General features: G+C 56.7%; 1 protein-coding gene across 3 annotated transcripts, besides 1 other annotated feature; it reads right to left on the bottom strand.

Moving 5' to 3' along the window:
* Positions 1-4355: 4355 nt before the first annotated feature.
* Positions 4356-13683, bottom strand: DOLPP1 (dolichyldiphosphatase 1). 3 transcript variants are annotated; one of them, NM_020438.5, is made up of 8 exons: positions 13587-13683; positions 10026-10126; positions 9687-9771; positions 9488-9587; positions 9178-9276; positions 8527-8655; positions 7996-8085; positions 4356-5823 (listed from the first exon to the last, which is right to left on the bottom strand). In NM_020438.5, the coding sequence occupies exons 1-8, from the start codon at positions 13660-13662 to the stop codon at positions 5787-5789; spliced, it is 717 nt and encodes a 238-aa protein (NP_065171.2). In that variant the 5' UTR covers positions 13663-13683; the 3' UTR covers positions 4356-5786. The 3 variants fall into 3 exon arrangements, 2 of the variants coding, with proteins under 2 accessions (NP_065171.2, NP_001129389.1); NM_001135917.2 differs by lacking the exon at positions 8527-8655; NR_072983.2 differs by lacking the exons at positions 8527-8655; positions 9687-9771.
* Positions 13256-13985: a silencer, noted in NCBI's record as "silent region_20359". NCBI's record gives its function as "represses an Ori minimal core promoter by ATAC-STARR-seq in GM12878 lymphoblastoid cells {active_cell/tissue: GM12878}" and the evidence as "EXISTENCE:reporter gene assay evidence [ECO:0000049][PMID:35858748]".

Genomic DNA, 15867 nt, shown 5'->3' with positions numbered 1-15867 from the left:
GAGGTGTTTCAGCTGAGAGGCAGGCAGGGTGGGGGCAGGCACCTGGCCTTGCCCTCTTCAGCTTTCCCTGGGCCTCGGAGCTGGTGTCCAAGCAGCTGGTGGGCCTGAGGGCTTTGGCCCAGGAGCCAAGGTCCAGCTGTGACCTTGGGGCACTGGGCCCAGAACCATACCAGAGCCAGGGCTGCGTCCTTCACCAGCAGCTTCCCACCTACCTCTGGCTTGGGCCTTCCCAAGTCCCATGGGTTGTGGGTAGGGGCAACTCTCCCAGGGGACTGTGGGGCCCAGCAGGCCCAGGTCTGGTGGGCTGATGAATGTTGCTAATACCCAGGGGCCCAGGGTGTCATTCTACTTCCCCCAACTGAGCCCAGCAAAAGTAGGAGTACAGCAGCAGGCTCAGCTTGCCCCAGGCCCAGCCGCTGCCAGGACAGACACCTTCGGGGGTGGGCAGGTGCGATCAGAGCAGAACCACATACCTGCCCATAGCCCCGTGTCCATGGCTGAGGCAGGGCATCCTGGCAAAACCAAGCGTGCAGTTTGTGGAGAGGGGAGAGTCTCCCATTAGGACACTGGCCTGTGAGGAAGGCCTGTGTGAAACCACAAGGGCGGATGCCGGGGTGGGCTGGGGGAGGTTGGCTGGCCTGTGAGTGAAGGGCTCTGTGACCTGACTAAGCTGGGACAGTCATCCGAGAGTGGGGCCTTTGGTTTTCTCCGTTTGTCAGATGAGGAAGCAGGCTTAGCGAGGTTAAGGTCACCGGGACGCTAAATGGCAGAGCAGGATTCACAGAGGCCACACTTGTCTCCTCTAGGCCGGGGCTCCAAGAAGCCCCTCCCTAGAGCCAGGTCCCCAGCCCCAGGCCACATCCACCTAGGTGTCCCGCAGCAGGGGGTGGAGAAAGGGATGCTATGGGTGGAAACCGGCCCAGCCTCAGGACCACAAGGAAGCGGGTAAAGAGGGAGGCTGGGCTGAGCCTGAGCTCTAATCAGGCGCAGGGACCTGCCAGGCCTGACCATTGGTGGTGTACTCAGCAGGAGAGGGCAGCCACTTGCCCAGTGCCCCAAGGGGACAGGAGGTGTAGCCCAGACAATGGAGGAAATGGATGGAGGCAGAGAAAGGGATGCCTCTGGGGGGAACACGCAGGCCTGGAAGAGAATGTCACCTGGACCAGCACCCGGACTCTGCTCCTCGCTACACAACAGGGTGCTCCCTCTGGGGGTGACTAGAACCGCTAGGAAACAGGGTACACAGCAGGGCAGAGTGCTGCATGAGCAGCCAGGAGTGGGCCTGCAGCCAGCCCAGGCAGGACAGGGAGGGGAGAGCGAACAGTCAAGAGGCTGCCAGACAGACACCCTGGATTCCCAAAACTCGCCTAAGAACCCTACAGGTCTGAATATAAGGTTGGATTTTTTTTCCCCCAGAATTATCCTTCTGAATTGAGGGGCATCCCCTTAGGGTGGTGGCATTACAGGCCCCATCACATGGAAGCCCCCTCAATTCCTTGGAGCCACCAAGTATTGTTCAGGGAGGGCGCATTCAGCATCTGAGCAACCTCAGTCATGGTGAGAGGGAATCCCTAGAGGTCCTTTGTGGGGGAAAAAGGCAAAGAAACAAGATTTCGCCGTTCTTCCTTAGGGGTAATTCCTGAGACCTCACACTTTCAAGTGTTGGATGTCGGGATAAACCAGCGCTTAACGTTGTGCCAGGGGGCACTTGTGGCTTGGAATGAAATTTCTAGAGCTAGTGCTGTGCATGAAATCCTACAGGCGCTGCTTAAAGGCTAGCATAGCCAAGACAGCGGCCCCAGGAGAGCAGGCTCAGCTGACCCAGAGGGGGCTCCAGGGGTGACCAAACTCTGGCGCCAGTGATGCAGACGAAAAACGTGATTCGTTTTTGCAAAATGAGTGAAAAAAAGCTCTTCTGAATTGGTATATCTTGAGCAATGCATCATTTGACATTTGAATGAGTAATAAATTTTTTTTTTTTTTGAGACAATTTCACTCTTGTCACCCAGGCTGAAGTGCAATGGTGCGATCTCAGCTTACTGCAACCTCTGCCTCCCAGGTTCAGGCAATTCTCCTGTCTCAGTCTCCCAAATAGTTGGGATTACAGGCCTGTGCCACCACACCCAGTATTTTTGTACTTTTAGTAGAGACAGGGTTTCACCATGTTGGCCAGGCTAGTCTCAAACTCCTGACCTCAGGCCTGCCTCAGCCTCCCAAAGTGCTGGGATTACAGGCGTGAGTCACCACGCCCAGCCTAATAAGATTAATGAATTCAAGAGAAATAGACGTGTGGCTTTACGGAAAGTCTGTACATCCAGCGGGCATGAACTTTTTTTTTTTTTTTTTCCTGAGACGGAGTCTCGCTCTGTCGCCCACGCTGGAGTGCAGTGGTGCAATCTCAGTTCACCGCAAGCTCTGCCTCCTGGGTTCATGCCATTCTCCTGCCTCAGCCGCCCGAGTAGCTGGGACTACAGGCACCCACCACCACGCCCGGCTAATTTTTTGTATTTTGTTTAGTAGAGATGGGGTTTCACCGTGTTAGCCAGGACGGTCTCAATCTCCTGACCTCGTGATCCGCCCGTCTCGGCCTCCCAAAGTGCTGGGATTACAGGCGTGAGCCACCGCGCCCAGCCGCGAAAAGTGGATATTTCAAAGAGGCTTCTGAGGGCTTGAAGAGTTGGGCTTCTGCCCAGCACCGCACCTTGGGCAGGTTGGAGCGGGGTCAGGGTAAGCAGGTGAGTGTGGATGAAGTGAAGGCGATGAGTTAGCGGGGGCGGGTGCGCCTGAAGCTGCTCCCGGTAGCTTTCCCACTCCACACTGCAGCCGGGATGTCTTCTGACACACCCTCCAGTTTGCTTTTCCTTTTTAACTCTCTCTCATCTGCTGTTAAATCTACCTCTCGGATCCTTGTTTTTTAGCTATGATTCGAGGCCAGGGCTCGCCTTATAGTTTCCTGTTCCCTGCAGATATTGCCATTTATTTATTTTTTTGAGAGGGAGTCTCACTCTATCACCCAAACTGGAGCACAGTGGCGCGATCTCGGCTCACTGCAACCTCTGCCTCCTGAGTTCAAGCGATTCTCCTGCCTCAGCCTCCCGAGTAGCTGAGACTACAGGCGTGTGCCACCATGCCCAGCTAATGTTTGTATTTTTAGTAGAGATGGTATTTCACCATGTTGGCCAGGCTGGTCTCGAACTCCTGACCCTAAGTGATCTGCCCATCTCTGGATTATGGGCGTGAGCCACCGTGCCTGGTGTTCTCTTTAAAAATAGTAAAACAGGCTGGGCGTGGTGGCTCATGCCATAATCCCAGCACTTTGGGAGGCCGAGATGGGTGGATCACTTGAGATCAGGAGTTAGAGATCAGCCTGGCCTACATGACGAAACCCCATCTCTATTAAAAATACAAAAAAAATTAGCCAGGGGAGGCTGAGGCAGGAGAGTTGCTTGAACCCAGGAGGCGGAGGTTGCAGCAAGCTGAGATCGCGCCACTGCACTCCAGCCTGGGTGACAGAGCAAGACTCCATCTCAAAAAAAAAATAGTAAAGCAGTCTGCTTAATCATTCCAGTATTTGAAGAATTTGTGGGTTTGTTTCTATTATCTGTTTTCTGCTGCTGCTCCATCATGGTGTCTTTTTTCCTTTTATATTTGATCATCTTTGTCCACATATATTTGTTTTTGAGATGGGGTTTTTCTCAGGCTGGAGTGCAGTGGTGTGATCACAGTTGGCTGCAGCCTTGACTCCCGGGCTCAAGCGATCGTCCCACCTCAGCCCCTCGAGTAGCTAGGACCACAGGTGTGCACCACCACGCCTAGCTCATTTTTAAAAAAATATTTTGTAGAGACAGGGTCTTGCTACGTTGCCCAGGCTGGTCTCAAACTCCTGGGCTCAAATGATCCTCCTCCTTTGGCCTCCCAAAGTGCTGAAATTACAGGCGTGAGCCACTGTGTCAGACCAAGTGGAGATGTTTATCCTGGCACACTCTGAAGGGCACACTGGCTGCCCCTGAGTCCTCAAGGCTGTCCCACAGAGGAGGAACAAGGCTCAGTGAGAGGAGGGCCAGCGCCACACAGGGAGGGAGACTGACAGTGAAAAGAGGAAAACTTCCTAAGGCTGAGAGTGTCCAGGTTTGGTATGGTGGCCCTCAGTGAGGTCCCCTGGAGGGATGTAATCAGAAGCTGGACAGACCCTGACAGGAAATGCCGCAGAGGTCATTCAGACCCCTGCTGTGGGCTAGAAGGGACTAGATCACTTCTGGTTTTATGGTCTTCACCGTATCCTTGCCCCTAAGGGTCATGTGTCCCCACAGCTGCCCCAATCTCCTCTCCTGAGCTCAATCAGCAAGTGCTCAAGCTGCCAGAGTTTACGGTTTTATTTTAAAACAGTAGTAAACAATTTCATTGATTTTTCTTAAATCAAACCACCTCATACTCGGCTTGTCTCAGGCAAAAAGTAAAAAATAAAAATAACGGGAGGGAAACATGGAAACCGACCTACCTTCCCTAGAAATAAGCCCCTGGTCTTGGCATCTGGAATGGCTTTTGGACACTGCCTTTAACAAATGAGAAAAGAAAGCACCAAAACATTGTGCTTCAGCAGCAGGTTAGGAAACTCCACAAAGAAAGGGGTGGGGAGGATTCGAACACAGATCCCGAGTGACCCAGTTCAGTCCTCAAAACTTCTGAGAGTCTGGAGGCGTCTCCTCTCCACAACTCCCTTTCAGAGTGACTTAGAGATGGGGGTCCCTTTAGGAAGAGCCCTCCCACGAACCAGGCTGATAGGGATCTGTGAGCCCACACCCCAGACACAGGTTTGAGGGGGACCCCAAGCAGGTTCCCAGCTGGTCAGAGATGGGTCAGGAAGGACAAGGACATATTCAGAGCACACAGAGGGAAGGACGAGGGACTTCGGGTGCCTGTTGCCTCACTCCTCTCCTCACGGCTCCTTCCCATTTTGTTCACGTGGGGATGAAGACTAACTGCTACTGGATGGCAGGACAAGAAAGAGCTGTAAACAGCTTGGGTCTGCTCACCCAAATGTGCAGGCTCCTTTGTCAGAAAGCGATTATTGTCTTAGGGACAGGGGACCAGAGAAAGCCCTTGTGGTGTTGGGTCAGTACGGGGTAGAACACAACGACAGCAGCCGCCAGACGCGTGCTCGCTCTGGGCCCTGCCCCCAGACAGGGAAACACTGACCGAGGTTCTGGAACGGCAACGGTGGCAGGGAGGGTGTGGGGTATGCTCCCCTCCTCCTGGCACCCAGGCCACCCCGGCCCAGGGAGAGGCAGTCTGCCCTCTGGGCATAGGGCGAAGGGCCTGGGAAGCTGACCGGGAGCCCTCTGTTCACAGGGCAGCCACCGGAGAGCAGATTCTTCCAGCTCCAAAATCCTGCCTGCCTCTGACAAAACCAAAAAATAAATAGTGTGTACTTCTCACGCCACCTGGAATTCCTGGCCCCGAGACCAGAGGCGCGAGCCCTCCTCCTCCACCCCACACCCAGGTGCCCATGCCGAGGGCACTTTCTGCCCAGCCAGGGGCTGGCAGCAGCACAGCGAGGGTCTCTGGCCACGGCCCCCAGGCAGCAGGCCCCCCAGGGTCCTGGTTGAGGGGCTGGTTCAGCCCTTTGGTCCACCTTGTTCATTAAAATTAAAATAAGAAAAAAAAAGGCTCCACTTGGTGACTTGGGTCTGTAGAGGTCTCTGCTTCGTCCCTGTCTGTCATCCTGTCCATCCTGCAAGGCATCGTGCGGGCCAGATCTGGAGGCTGGACCCAGCCACACCCACTGGTCACTGCAGTTTCGTCCCCAGCTTGCGTTGTCTGTTCCTGCAAAACAGGATGGGGGTCAGATGTGGAGACATCTGGTGTTCAGTGACCTACAGCTGTCCCCACCCCACCCGTAGTCCCAACTAAGTAGGCAAATGCCCACACCCAGTAGCCAGCGATTGACCTGAACTGGGCCAATCAGAGCACCTGCCCTGGGAATGGCACCTAGACAGGGCTGATCTCCCCGGCGAGGCCTGTACCTCAGTTATCTCAGCTCTGCAATCCCAGAAGTGGAGCCAGGGGATTGGAGCAGGGGTAGGGACCAGGATGAGACTACAGAGGCAAGAGGGACCTGGCTGGGTTCCAATTAGTTATGGGGAGTTTCGCTTTATAGACGAGGCAGCACAAGTGGGCTCAGTTGTTATTGATCAAAACAGAAGTACAGAAATGTAGTGAGCTCCCCATCCGGGAGGTATGCAAGCGAAAGCAGGAGAACTACTGATGGAGGTTACTGAGGGGATTTGAGCACCCAATTTGGGCTGTGGCTATATCCAGAGTGAGCCCAGGAACCTGAGGGAACCAGGGCCAATCACCCCCATTTTCTAGAGGGGCTGACAGAGACTCAGTAGAGGAGAATGGGGTTTGTCTAGGGTCCCAGTTAAAATCTAGAAACCTGACTGGTCCTGTGTGATCTGTCCCCAGCCTCATCCCACAACACACCCCTTGCTCCCTGGGCTCCAGCCCCGGCAGCCTCCGTCTGGTGCAGTCACCAAGCTTTGTCAGCTTCAGGAGTTGTGCATGCCCTTCCCTCTGCTGAGAACGTTTCCCCCAACCCCCACAACACCCTCCCACCCCCCTACCCTCCCCATCCCCCCATCCCCCCCCACCTCCCCCCACCCCCAGCTCCCACGTCCCCACATAGGCTCCCGACACAAGCTGTCAGGCCACAGCACTGATCACATAGGCAGGTGCGTCGCAGCTCTTCCCTGCCTGCCGTGAACACAGTGAGCAGGGGACCATGGCTGTCACTGTGCTTGCCCCCAGCACACAGCCTGGCACAGAACAGGTGTGCCCTGAGATTTTGGTAAATGAAGGCAGGTGGAGGCCGGCCAGGCGGGGCAGGGCAGGGTGAGGCGGGGCAGGCCAGTGAGAGATCAGCGGGGCCAGCTGGGACCTTTCTGCCTCTAATAGGATTGCCTGCCCTAACCCCCTCCAATCCCCTTTCCTCATGGATCCCCGGCTTTGCCCTTAAGCTCGTTAGGATAATTTGGACCTTGATGCACTAAACACGTTTCCTGGCTGCTAGGACGCCCCACCCTACCCCGCCCCACAGTCCCTCTCAGCCTGCCTAGAAACCTCCCAGGCTTCCTGTGGAGCCTCAGCTCCCCTCTGAACCCAGAGAAGGGCCGGCCTTCGGCCGGGCGAGGTGGCTCACACCTGTAATCCCAGCACTTTGGAAGGCCGAGGCGGGTGGATCACAAAGTCAGGAGATTGAGACCATCCTGGCTAACACGGTGAAACCCCGTCTCTACTAAAAAATACAAAAAATTAGCCGGGCGTGGTGGCGGGCGCCTGTAGTCCCAGCTACTCGGGAGGCTGAGGCAGGAGAATGGTGTGAACAAGGGAGGCAGAGGTTGCAGTGAGCCGAGATCGCGCCACTGCACTCCAGCCTGGGCGACAGAGCGAGACTCCGTCTCAAAAAAAAAAAAAAAGAAAAAAAAGAAAAGCCAGCCTTCCCACTCCCCTAAGAACCTCACCCAGGATTTGGGGTGAATGAAACAGCATGAGTCAGGAGTCTCCAAAGCTCAGCTCTGTCCTGACTTGCTGCACAACTACAGGCTGGCCTCCTAACTCAATGTGCCTCAGTTTACCCAGGCCTAAGAAAGCATCTGGACTAATCCCTAGGGATGTCCACACACAGGAGCCCTGAGAACCTCAGCTGCCCAGCTCTCTGGTTCTGGGCTGCAGAGGTTAAAAGCATGGGCCCTGGGCCAGACAGCCTGGGTTCACCACCCTGCTCCCCCACCCACTATCTGCAAGATCTCGAGCAAGTGACTTCTCTTCTCCAAGCTTCAGTTTCATCATCTGCAAAATGGGGGTCACAGCAGGATTCAATGAGTTAATGCAAGAGAAGTGCTTAGGCAGGCGCGAGGCTCCCGGAGAGCCCTCCAAACATGGAGGCAGAGGCTGCCTGTGGCTGGCCCAGTGAGCACTGCTGTCCCCTGAACTCACCTGGCTTCTGCCCGGGTTACCGTGTACTCAAACCAGAGTACGTTGGGAATGAGGCTTGTGTCTCGGATTAGGAAGAACTCGGAGACAGGCCTGGAGAGACAGACATCAGAGAGCCAGGGGCACATCAGGGCATGAGTCTGTTACCATGCCAGCCATCCCCACCATTGCCCGGGGCTGGCACGGCACCCGCCCCGACTGCCTAGAGTCTTTGCCTGGCCTGAGACCCCAGAGCCACTGAGAGACCCAGCTATGTCACCTGTGTCACCTCAGGCAGGGGCACTGTCCCACGGCACACACAGCCCAGCAGGACTCAGGCTTCTAAGTCCCTGAGAACCTAGGCGAGGACAGAGGATGGCACTCTGGCTTCCGGGCCTGAGGAAACCCCCTGTGTCTCTGCCACAAACCCTGGGGCACTGGGGCCTTCCCAGGGAGACAGGGGCTGGGGTCAAGACTCCTAGGTCCGCCCACTGATGGCCCCACCCACAGGAGGGGACAGGGCCCACAGTGCCCAGGAAGGCAGGAGGCAGTTACCAGGCTGCTATCCTGGGGAACAGCGGGGTGAGGACCTCCTGGGTGAAGATGAACCAGGCGATGGCCATGAGGCCTCCAGCGATGCCTCCATAGAGCACCTGGCTCCAGGTGTGGTACAGCAGGTAGACCCTGGGCCAAGGCCAGAAGCGAAGTATGTGAGAGCCAGTCAGACACAGGCCCGCACAATCCCCACTGCCCATGTGCCAGCTTCCCAGGGACCTGTGCCCACACATGTGGAGACACAGACAGGACACTGACTCCACGGGGCACAGCCTCAGATCCATTTCCAAGTGGGAGGGCGCTGGACCCCAAACACAGCTCTCCCATCTGTAGCAGTGAAGGGCCAGCTGGGATCTGCCTGCCTCCCATCTAGCCCTTGACCTCTGAATTTGTCTACAGTGGGCTCCTCCGGAACGCTGGGAAGAGATGGCTGATACGTGGAGTTGGTCCCAGAATCTTGGGCTCAGTGCGGACTGGGCTAGAAGAGGCAGCTGGAGCCCTGTCCTTTTAAAACTAGAGGTCTGGGACCCCTTTTCCAGTCCTGCACTACAGGTTCTGGGACTAGGGTCCATGGTGGGGTCCGACAGGGACCAGGAACCAGCAGGACCCCACATGGGCAGGGTGCAGGCAGGGGCTCTCCCTCCTCCATACCTGCTGTAGGAGACTAGGAAGGCCACAGCGAGGAGTCCCAGGGAGAGCACGTGCCTCCACAGCAAGTCCAGGAACCTGGCGTTGTTTGTTTGGTGCATTCTGCGAAAACAGGCCCACCAGATGACCTCAGCCCACAGCCCAGCCCAGGCCTCCCAAACAGTCCCTGGCCCCATCCAAATGCTCCCTGGGTACCTTCTGCCTCCGCTGCAGCCCCTCCCACCCCAGGGGCATCCAAAGGGCTAGCAGTGAGTCCCTAGCAGAACTCGGCCTGAGCAAGTTCAGGGCCATCCTGACCGGGGTGGAAACTCACCTTAAATACAGGAAAAGGAAGGAATAGACGGAGAAGAACCACATAAACTGGGAATGGCTGGAGGGCATCCCGTACTTGGTGCCCACTGCTGTGTGGGGGCCTGGGAGAGAGAGGAGACCAGGGCATCACGGGGGGATGCAGACCTCCCAGTAACGCCCCAACCTGGGGGAACCTCAGGCCCTCGCAGCTGAGGCCCTACCTCCACAGGGCCGTGGCTCCTGGATGACGTTTTTGATCAGCCAGTTGACCCCCTCGTTCAGTGCCAGGCCCCCAAGGAAGGAGATCTGCTGGGGAAGACGCATGGTCAGCTGGGCCTCTGTGCACCTGTTGGCTGCTACCTAGTCCCAAAGACCATGGCCTCTGACTGAACCTCCCAGCCCAACAGGTGAGTAACCTAGAACCAGCCAGGAGGCTCCACGCACCTCAAGACAGGTGGACGCAGGGATGAGAACCCTGGACTGAGGGGCGGACGGGCTTCCCAAAGCAGGGTGGGGGCACTGGGGGTGGGGTGGGGAGGGTGTGGGCAAGACAGACTCACCGTGTGCAGCTCCCGCTTAAATATGATGAGGGTCACGAAACCGACGATGACAAATACAGGGCTGAGGCTCAGGTAGGCAAGGAGGTGGCCAGAGAGATCACCTGGCAAGACAGAGAACAGAATCAGGAGGACAGGGCACAGGCATCAGAAGAGGGACCAGCCCCCTACAAGTAAGGCCTGATCCAGAAAGGAGGTCCCGGCAGGGCCTGGAGAATGGAGGCCAGGCAGCCAGGGACACCTGTTTACCGGCCGATTGTGCCAACTCAGTCACAGCCATACGTGATGCTGTCTACTACTTAGCACTAAAGTGCACACAGCATGCGTTTAAAGCAGGTGCCTTCACTGTTCCCATTCTATAGATGAAGAAACTGAATTCCAGAGCAACTATGTGACTCGCCCAAGGTCACACAGCCAGAAGGAGGTGGGACCAGGACTAAAGTCCAAGTCTCTGACCTGTTCCAGACACTAGACCAATCCCTCCTGCCAAAGCAGGAAGGTGAACCCGGCCTGGTGACTCCAGAGGTGGAGCCTGGGACCTGGGAGGCAGCCCGGCAGGCACATGAGAGCCACACACTGTTGTGCTGGGGCTGCCCTGGCTGAGCCCTGGGCCTCCAGGGAAATCCGACGTTCTCTGGACACCACACAGACTTGGGTCCACACTGAAGACTCGGACAGAAACCAAGCCCAATAGGGCGACGGTAACAGCTGCGCGCCACTTCTCTGGCAGGAAACTGCCTACCTATTGATTACCAGCTTCTGACACTCCCATCACTCCTGGGATGGAGGCAGCAGAGGAACACTGGCCCCTTTTAGGAGATGGGGACACTCAAGCTGAGAATCCAAGGGCAGGGGAGGCTGAGTCTGAAGGCCACCCTCACCACTTGAGACAGGCAGCTATGTAGCCACTCTGGGGTCTGAGAGCATGGTTCAGCTCCTATGCCCACACTCACTGGCTGCATGAACTGAGGCAAGGATTCAAGCCTCAGCTCACCCACTTGTGGAATAGGGATATCAGTGCCTACCTCCTACAGCTGCATGAGACTCAATGAGATGGGACCTGTGAGACACCCAGCTTGGTCCCTGGCAACCAGGACACTTCCATGTTGGGGCAGAGGTGGAGAGAACCCAGTGTGGGAAATGGTCCATGCCACCAGCCTCACACAAGCAGCAGGGAAGTTGTCCACAGAGGGCTGAGCCCAGATTCCAGGGCTGAAGACATAGACACACACATGCCCGGTCTCATCCACACACAGGATCCTACCCAGCCCATCCTACCCAGGATCAGACTGGCCTGGAGTTGGTCTGGGAGAGCAGAGCAGCCCAGCTAAGTGCCTGGGGTCAAGTGCTGGTGCTGCCACAGTCCCACTGGGTGACAGTGGGTGAGTCCCTTCTCTTTCCTGGGCCTCTCCACTATGAAGCTCACCCTCACAGCACTGGGCTATGAAGATAGTGAGTGACTGGTACCCCCAAAGCTTTAGCCATCTCCATAGCCTGTCCCAGAGCCAGCACTACCCTGGGGTTTTCCTGAAGATGCTACCAGGGACTCTGGCCTCTCTACTCTCTGATCCAAGCCCCCTCAGGCCTCCCACTGCCCTTAGGACAAGTTCCCCCTCAGCCCAGCTCATCTGGCCCTGCACAGTCCTGGCCCTGCTTCCCTCTCAACCTCTGCTCCAGTTCCAAGGACCAAACTCGAGTTCCCTGAGCGCATCGTGCCCTGTCCTACTTCTGGACCTTTGCACACAGTTTCCCCCCACCTGGGACGCTCTCTGGGTGAACTCAACAAACAACTAAGAACCCACCACAGTGGCAAAAAAAAAGACACATATGTCCCTGCTAGTGCAGAGCTTGAGGTCTGACGGGAGAATCTGCCATCCAGACTCAGTTCATGATCCACTAATGTAGATATCAGGACAGCATCTGGGAGTAGAGACAGGGTCTCTTTATATCCCACTCTATCCCCCAAGCCCAGCACAGGGCCTGGCTCTTAACTGGGCTCAAAAACTGTTGAATGAATGAAGTAAGCAAGTGACGGTGTGAAGAGGGGTGTGACGGAGAAGTGCAGGGAACCATGGAAGCATTAATAGGGGACTAGACCTCACCAGATGCTCCAGGCTCAGCCAGGTCCATCACAGCCTGTATCATGCTGCACACAACTGCCTGCCAGGTTCCTTCTGGCTTGTTGGATTGTGAGCACTCCAAGAAGCTACTCTGAGGCCAGGAGGGGAAGCTGTGAAGGTGCAGAGGCCTTAGCAAGTCTTTCCCCACCTCCAGGCTTTGGCTTTCCTCTTATAAAGCAGCTGGTTTTCATAGTGCAGGAATGCAGGGATATTTCAGGCCTGTTAAGCATTCTAAAAACCAGAGCTAGCCCAGGGCCTAGCACTCAGAAGTGTTCAGTGGATATTGACTGAATGAATGAATGGATGAATGAATGGTAGACAGGCAGGCAGGCAGGGCCCAGGACCTGGCAGGGCCATACCACCCCCAGTACAACCCAGAACACCAGCGTCAACGTTCTTTGGCATTCAGTCCTGGTGCCCTCAGCGGACCCAGGTTCTCACATCTCGCAAGACAGCAGCATGAGCAGGCCCTTCCCAGGCAACCAGGGCTCAATGAGGGGCTCCAGCCTTCCCTGGCACTCAACCATCTTACCCAGGGAGGGTCTTGCAAGGTGGGATAACATTAACTGCAGGTATTTACTGAACGCTTACTGCATGCCGGGCACTGTACTCAGCCCTTCTTGTGCCTCCTGCTATTTGATGCTCATACCATCACCAGAAGGTAAGCACTGTAATCAGTCCCACTTTAGAGATGAATTAACTTAAGCAGAGGCAGGCACCTGCACAAGGCCTCAGCCTCAACTGGAGCCCAGATGGGTCTGACCCCCACGCCCAGGCTCTGCGCCACTCTTACTAGACAGCCTCCAGAACGCCGCTAATGGACCTCTCAACTGGAAAGCCCTGCACTTCGAGAGGTGTGTCTGATGGGAAGCAACAGAAGTCAAGTTCCCGGAGGCTGCCCGCCCCCTCATCGGGTCCTCTCTGTTGTGGAATCGTGCCCTGCTCAGGGCGTGGCACCACAAGTACTCAAAAGCCTGGCTTCGGCTTGCACACTCCCAGCAACGGGGAGCTCTTTCTCTTACAAGCAGCCCAAAGCACTGTTCGAAGGAAACAAGACACTCCCTGCACGCTGGAACAGGAGTGCGGCCTCTCTGGGACAGGGGAGGGCGGGGAAGAAGGGCCAAGGTCCAGGCCAGGGATCTTTTCTCGCCTCACACAGATCCTCAACCCATTTCAGCCCACCGGCGCCCCGGGACCCGGGGGAGCGCCCTGGCCGCGCAGCCGCAGAGTGCGCGAGCGAGCGCCTCACAATTTCGCCCAGCTCATCCTCGCACCACTGCGCCTGCGCGGCGCGCGCGCCGGCCGAGCCCCTCCGTGGTTCACTATTTGACAGTTCCCACCCCGGTCCCCCGGCGCCCCCTCCGCGGGCTCGAGCAGGCCGGAGCGCCCGGGACTGAGAGGCCGTCCCTGGGAAGGCGTCCTTGGAGCCGGGACCGCCTTTTACCTGCAGGATATTCGACGTGGGTGAGGGTCACCGGCCGCCATGAAGCGGGGAGCGAGCACTGTCCGTCCGCTGCCATCTTACCCGGAGACCGGGCTTCTTCGAGCAGCCAATGGGGAGCCAGGGGGGCGGTGGTCCTGACCTATCACGCCGGGGAGGCGCCGTGCACCCAATCGGAGGCCAATATAGGTAGCGGCGCAGCCATTCAGCGTGCAGGCCGTGGGGGCTGGCCCGAGCGGCGAATCAGAGAGCGGGGCCCCTGGGAGCCAACGAGCCGCCCCAGCTGGCGCCCAATCTGGGGCGAGCGCAGGTAGGCATCTGGCCAATCAGAGAAGGGGAGGGTTCCAGCACCGAACAGGGAGCATAACAGCCAATCAGAAGGTGAGGCTGCCTCAGCTTGTGGGCAGGGCGGGCCAATCAGGCGCTGGCTTTGGGGGCGTGTTGAACTTTGGTGGGAGCTTTGGTTCGGCTGGGACCTGCGCCCTGAATGAAGGCTTCCCTGGTACCCCCTGCCGATCCGCGGTCTTGGGGACCTGCGCGTCCGATAGCGCGTGCTCGAAGAGGAGAGGCAACCTCAGCTCCAGGGGGTTTGAACCGACCCACTTTCAGTTACGAGTAAACTGAGACCAGAGAGCAGAGGGGGCTTATTTCCCTCTGCCCCATACTGGCCGGCGAAAGGGCAAGTCACACAGAGCAGGCGACCTTTTTGTCAAAAGTGTGTGGGGCGGGGCGCGCAGTAGGCGCCCTAAACGCTGGACTGAACAGAGAAGCTTAATTGATACTTAAGAGTGGAAGCTTAGCTACAGTTAAGGACTCCTTCCTCCTTTCATTCATTTAATAAAGATTTATTGATTCAGTCACGTCTATGCTACTTAATGAGGCGTCTTGGGAGCATTTCAAACAAGAAGTCGGTTTTCCACCTACCCCTCAGTTTTCCCAAGACATTCCTGCGTGAACAGCCACACCTTCCCACCCGCCTTCACCTCTCCTACCCGACTCTGTCTCTGGCTGGATTGGATTACAGTGCAGGTAAGGTGGGCTGGGAGGGCTCAGCCTCTTGTCTCCTGCCGCTAGCATGTGCTGTTTTTGTCTGTTTGTTTGTTTTTTGAGACAGGGTCTTGCTCTGAGGCCCAGGCTGGAGTGCAGTGGAACGATCTTGCTCAGCCTCCTGGGTCCAAGTGATTCTCCTGTCTCAGCCTCCCGAGTAGCTGTGACTACAGGCGCGCACCACCGCATCCGGCTAATTTTTGCATTTTTAGTAGAGACCGGGTCTTACCATGTTGGGCAGGCTGGTCTCGAACTCCTGGCCTCAGGTGATCCACCTGCCTCGGCTCCCAAAATGCTGAGATTACAAGCGTGAGCCGCCATGCCCAGCTAATTTTTTTTTTTTTTTTTTGAGACGGAGTCTCGCTCTGTTGCCCAGGCTGGAGTGCAGTGGCACGCCCGGCTAATTTTCGTACTTTTCGTAGAGACGGGGTTTCACCGTGTTGGTCAGGATGGTCTTGATCTCCTGACCTCGTGATCCGCCCACCTCGGCCTCCCAAAGTGCTGGGATTACAGGTGTGAGCCACCGCCCCTGGCCACCATGTGCTGTTTTGCTGCGTGGGATGTACTGCCTCTCCTGCCCTACTTTGCCCGGCCCAATCTGGTTCAGGTGTCTCCTCGGCTTACAGGTTTCCACAGTCAAGTGAGGGGCCAGTACTGGGCTCTCACGGTTGCATTTCCTGTCCTTTCTCAGCCCTGACCTCACTGGACTGTAATCGGCTCCCTATCCCTCCCAGTCAGCAGCGGCTCTCAGATTCATGGAGTGCTGAGATCAGCCTGTAGAAAACACAGATTCCTGGGTCACAATGGGGCCTGGGTTGATCCAGTAGGTCTGAGTTGGAGCCCAGGTGTCTGCATTCTTATGTGCTCTGGTGGTTCTGATACAGGTGGTTACAGCCACCACTGGAGAAACCCTGGGCAACATGAGGACAGGGCCTGGTACATCCTGAGCCTGGTCCAGACCAGACCTAGAGCAAGTGTCTGATAAGTGACACGAGCGCCCCTGAGGTGAGTTGAGAATTACCCAGGAAATCCCACTGAGAGTGGCTCTTTCTGCGAGTGGCCAGGCCAGTAGAGCGGGGACCGTGAGCTGGCCTGTGTGGCCGGAGATGATGGCGACTCAGAACCCACCAAAGAGCCCAGAAGGCCCACTGCCCTGCTGTGCGCACTCCCAGCCTGGGCTCGTCGGGGTCAGCTGGCCTCGGTTTCCTCAGGCACTGTCATTATTAGCCTCTGAGAA

Source organism: Homo sapiens, chromosome 9 (assembly GCF_000001405.40).
Source record: "Homo sapiens chromosome 9, GRCh38.p14 Primary Assembly".
NCBI classification, from domain to species: domain Eukaryota; kingdom Metazoa; phylum Chordata; class Mammalia; order Primates; family Hominidae; genus Homo; species Homo sapiens.
The sequence above is the reverse complement of the archived record's forward strand: the minus strand, read 5'-3'. Positions and strand labels throughout refer to the sequence as shown.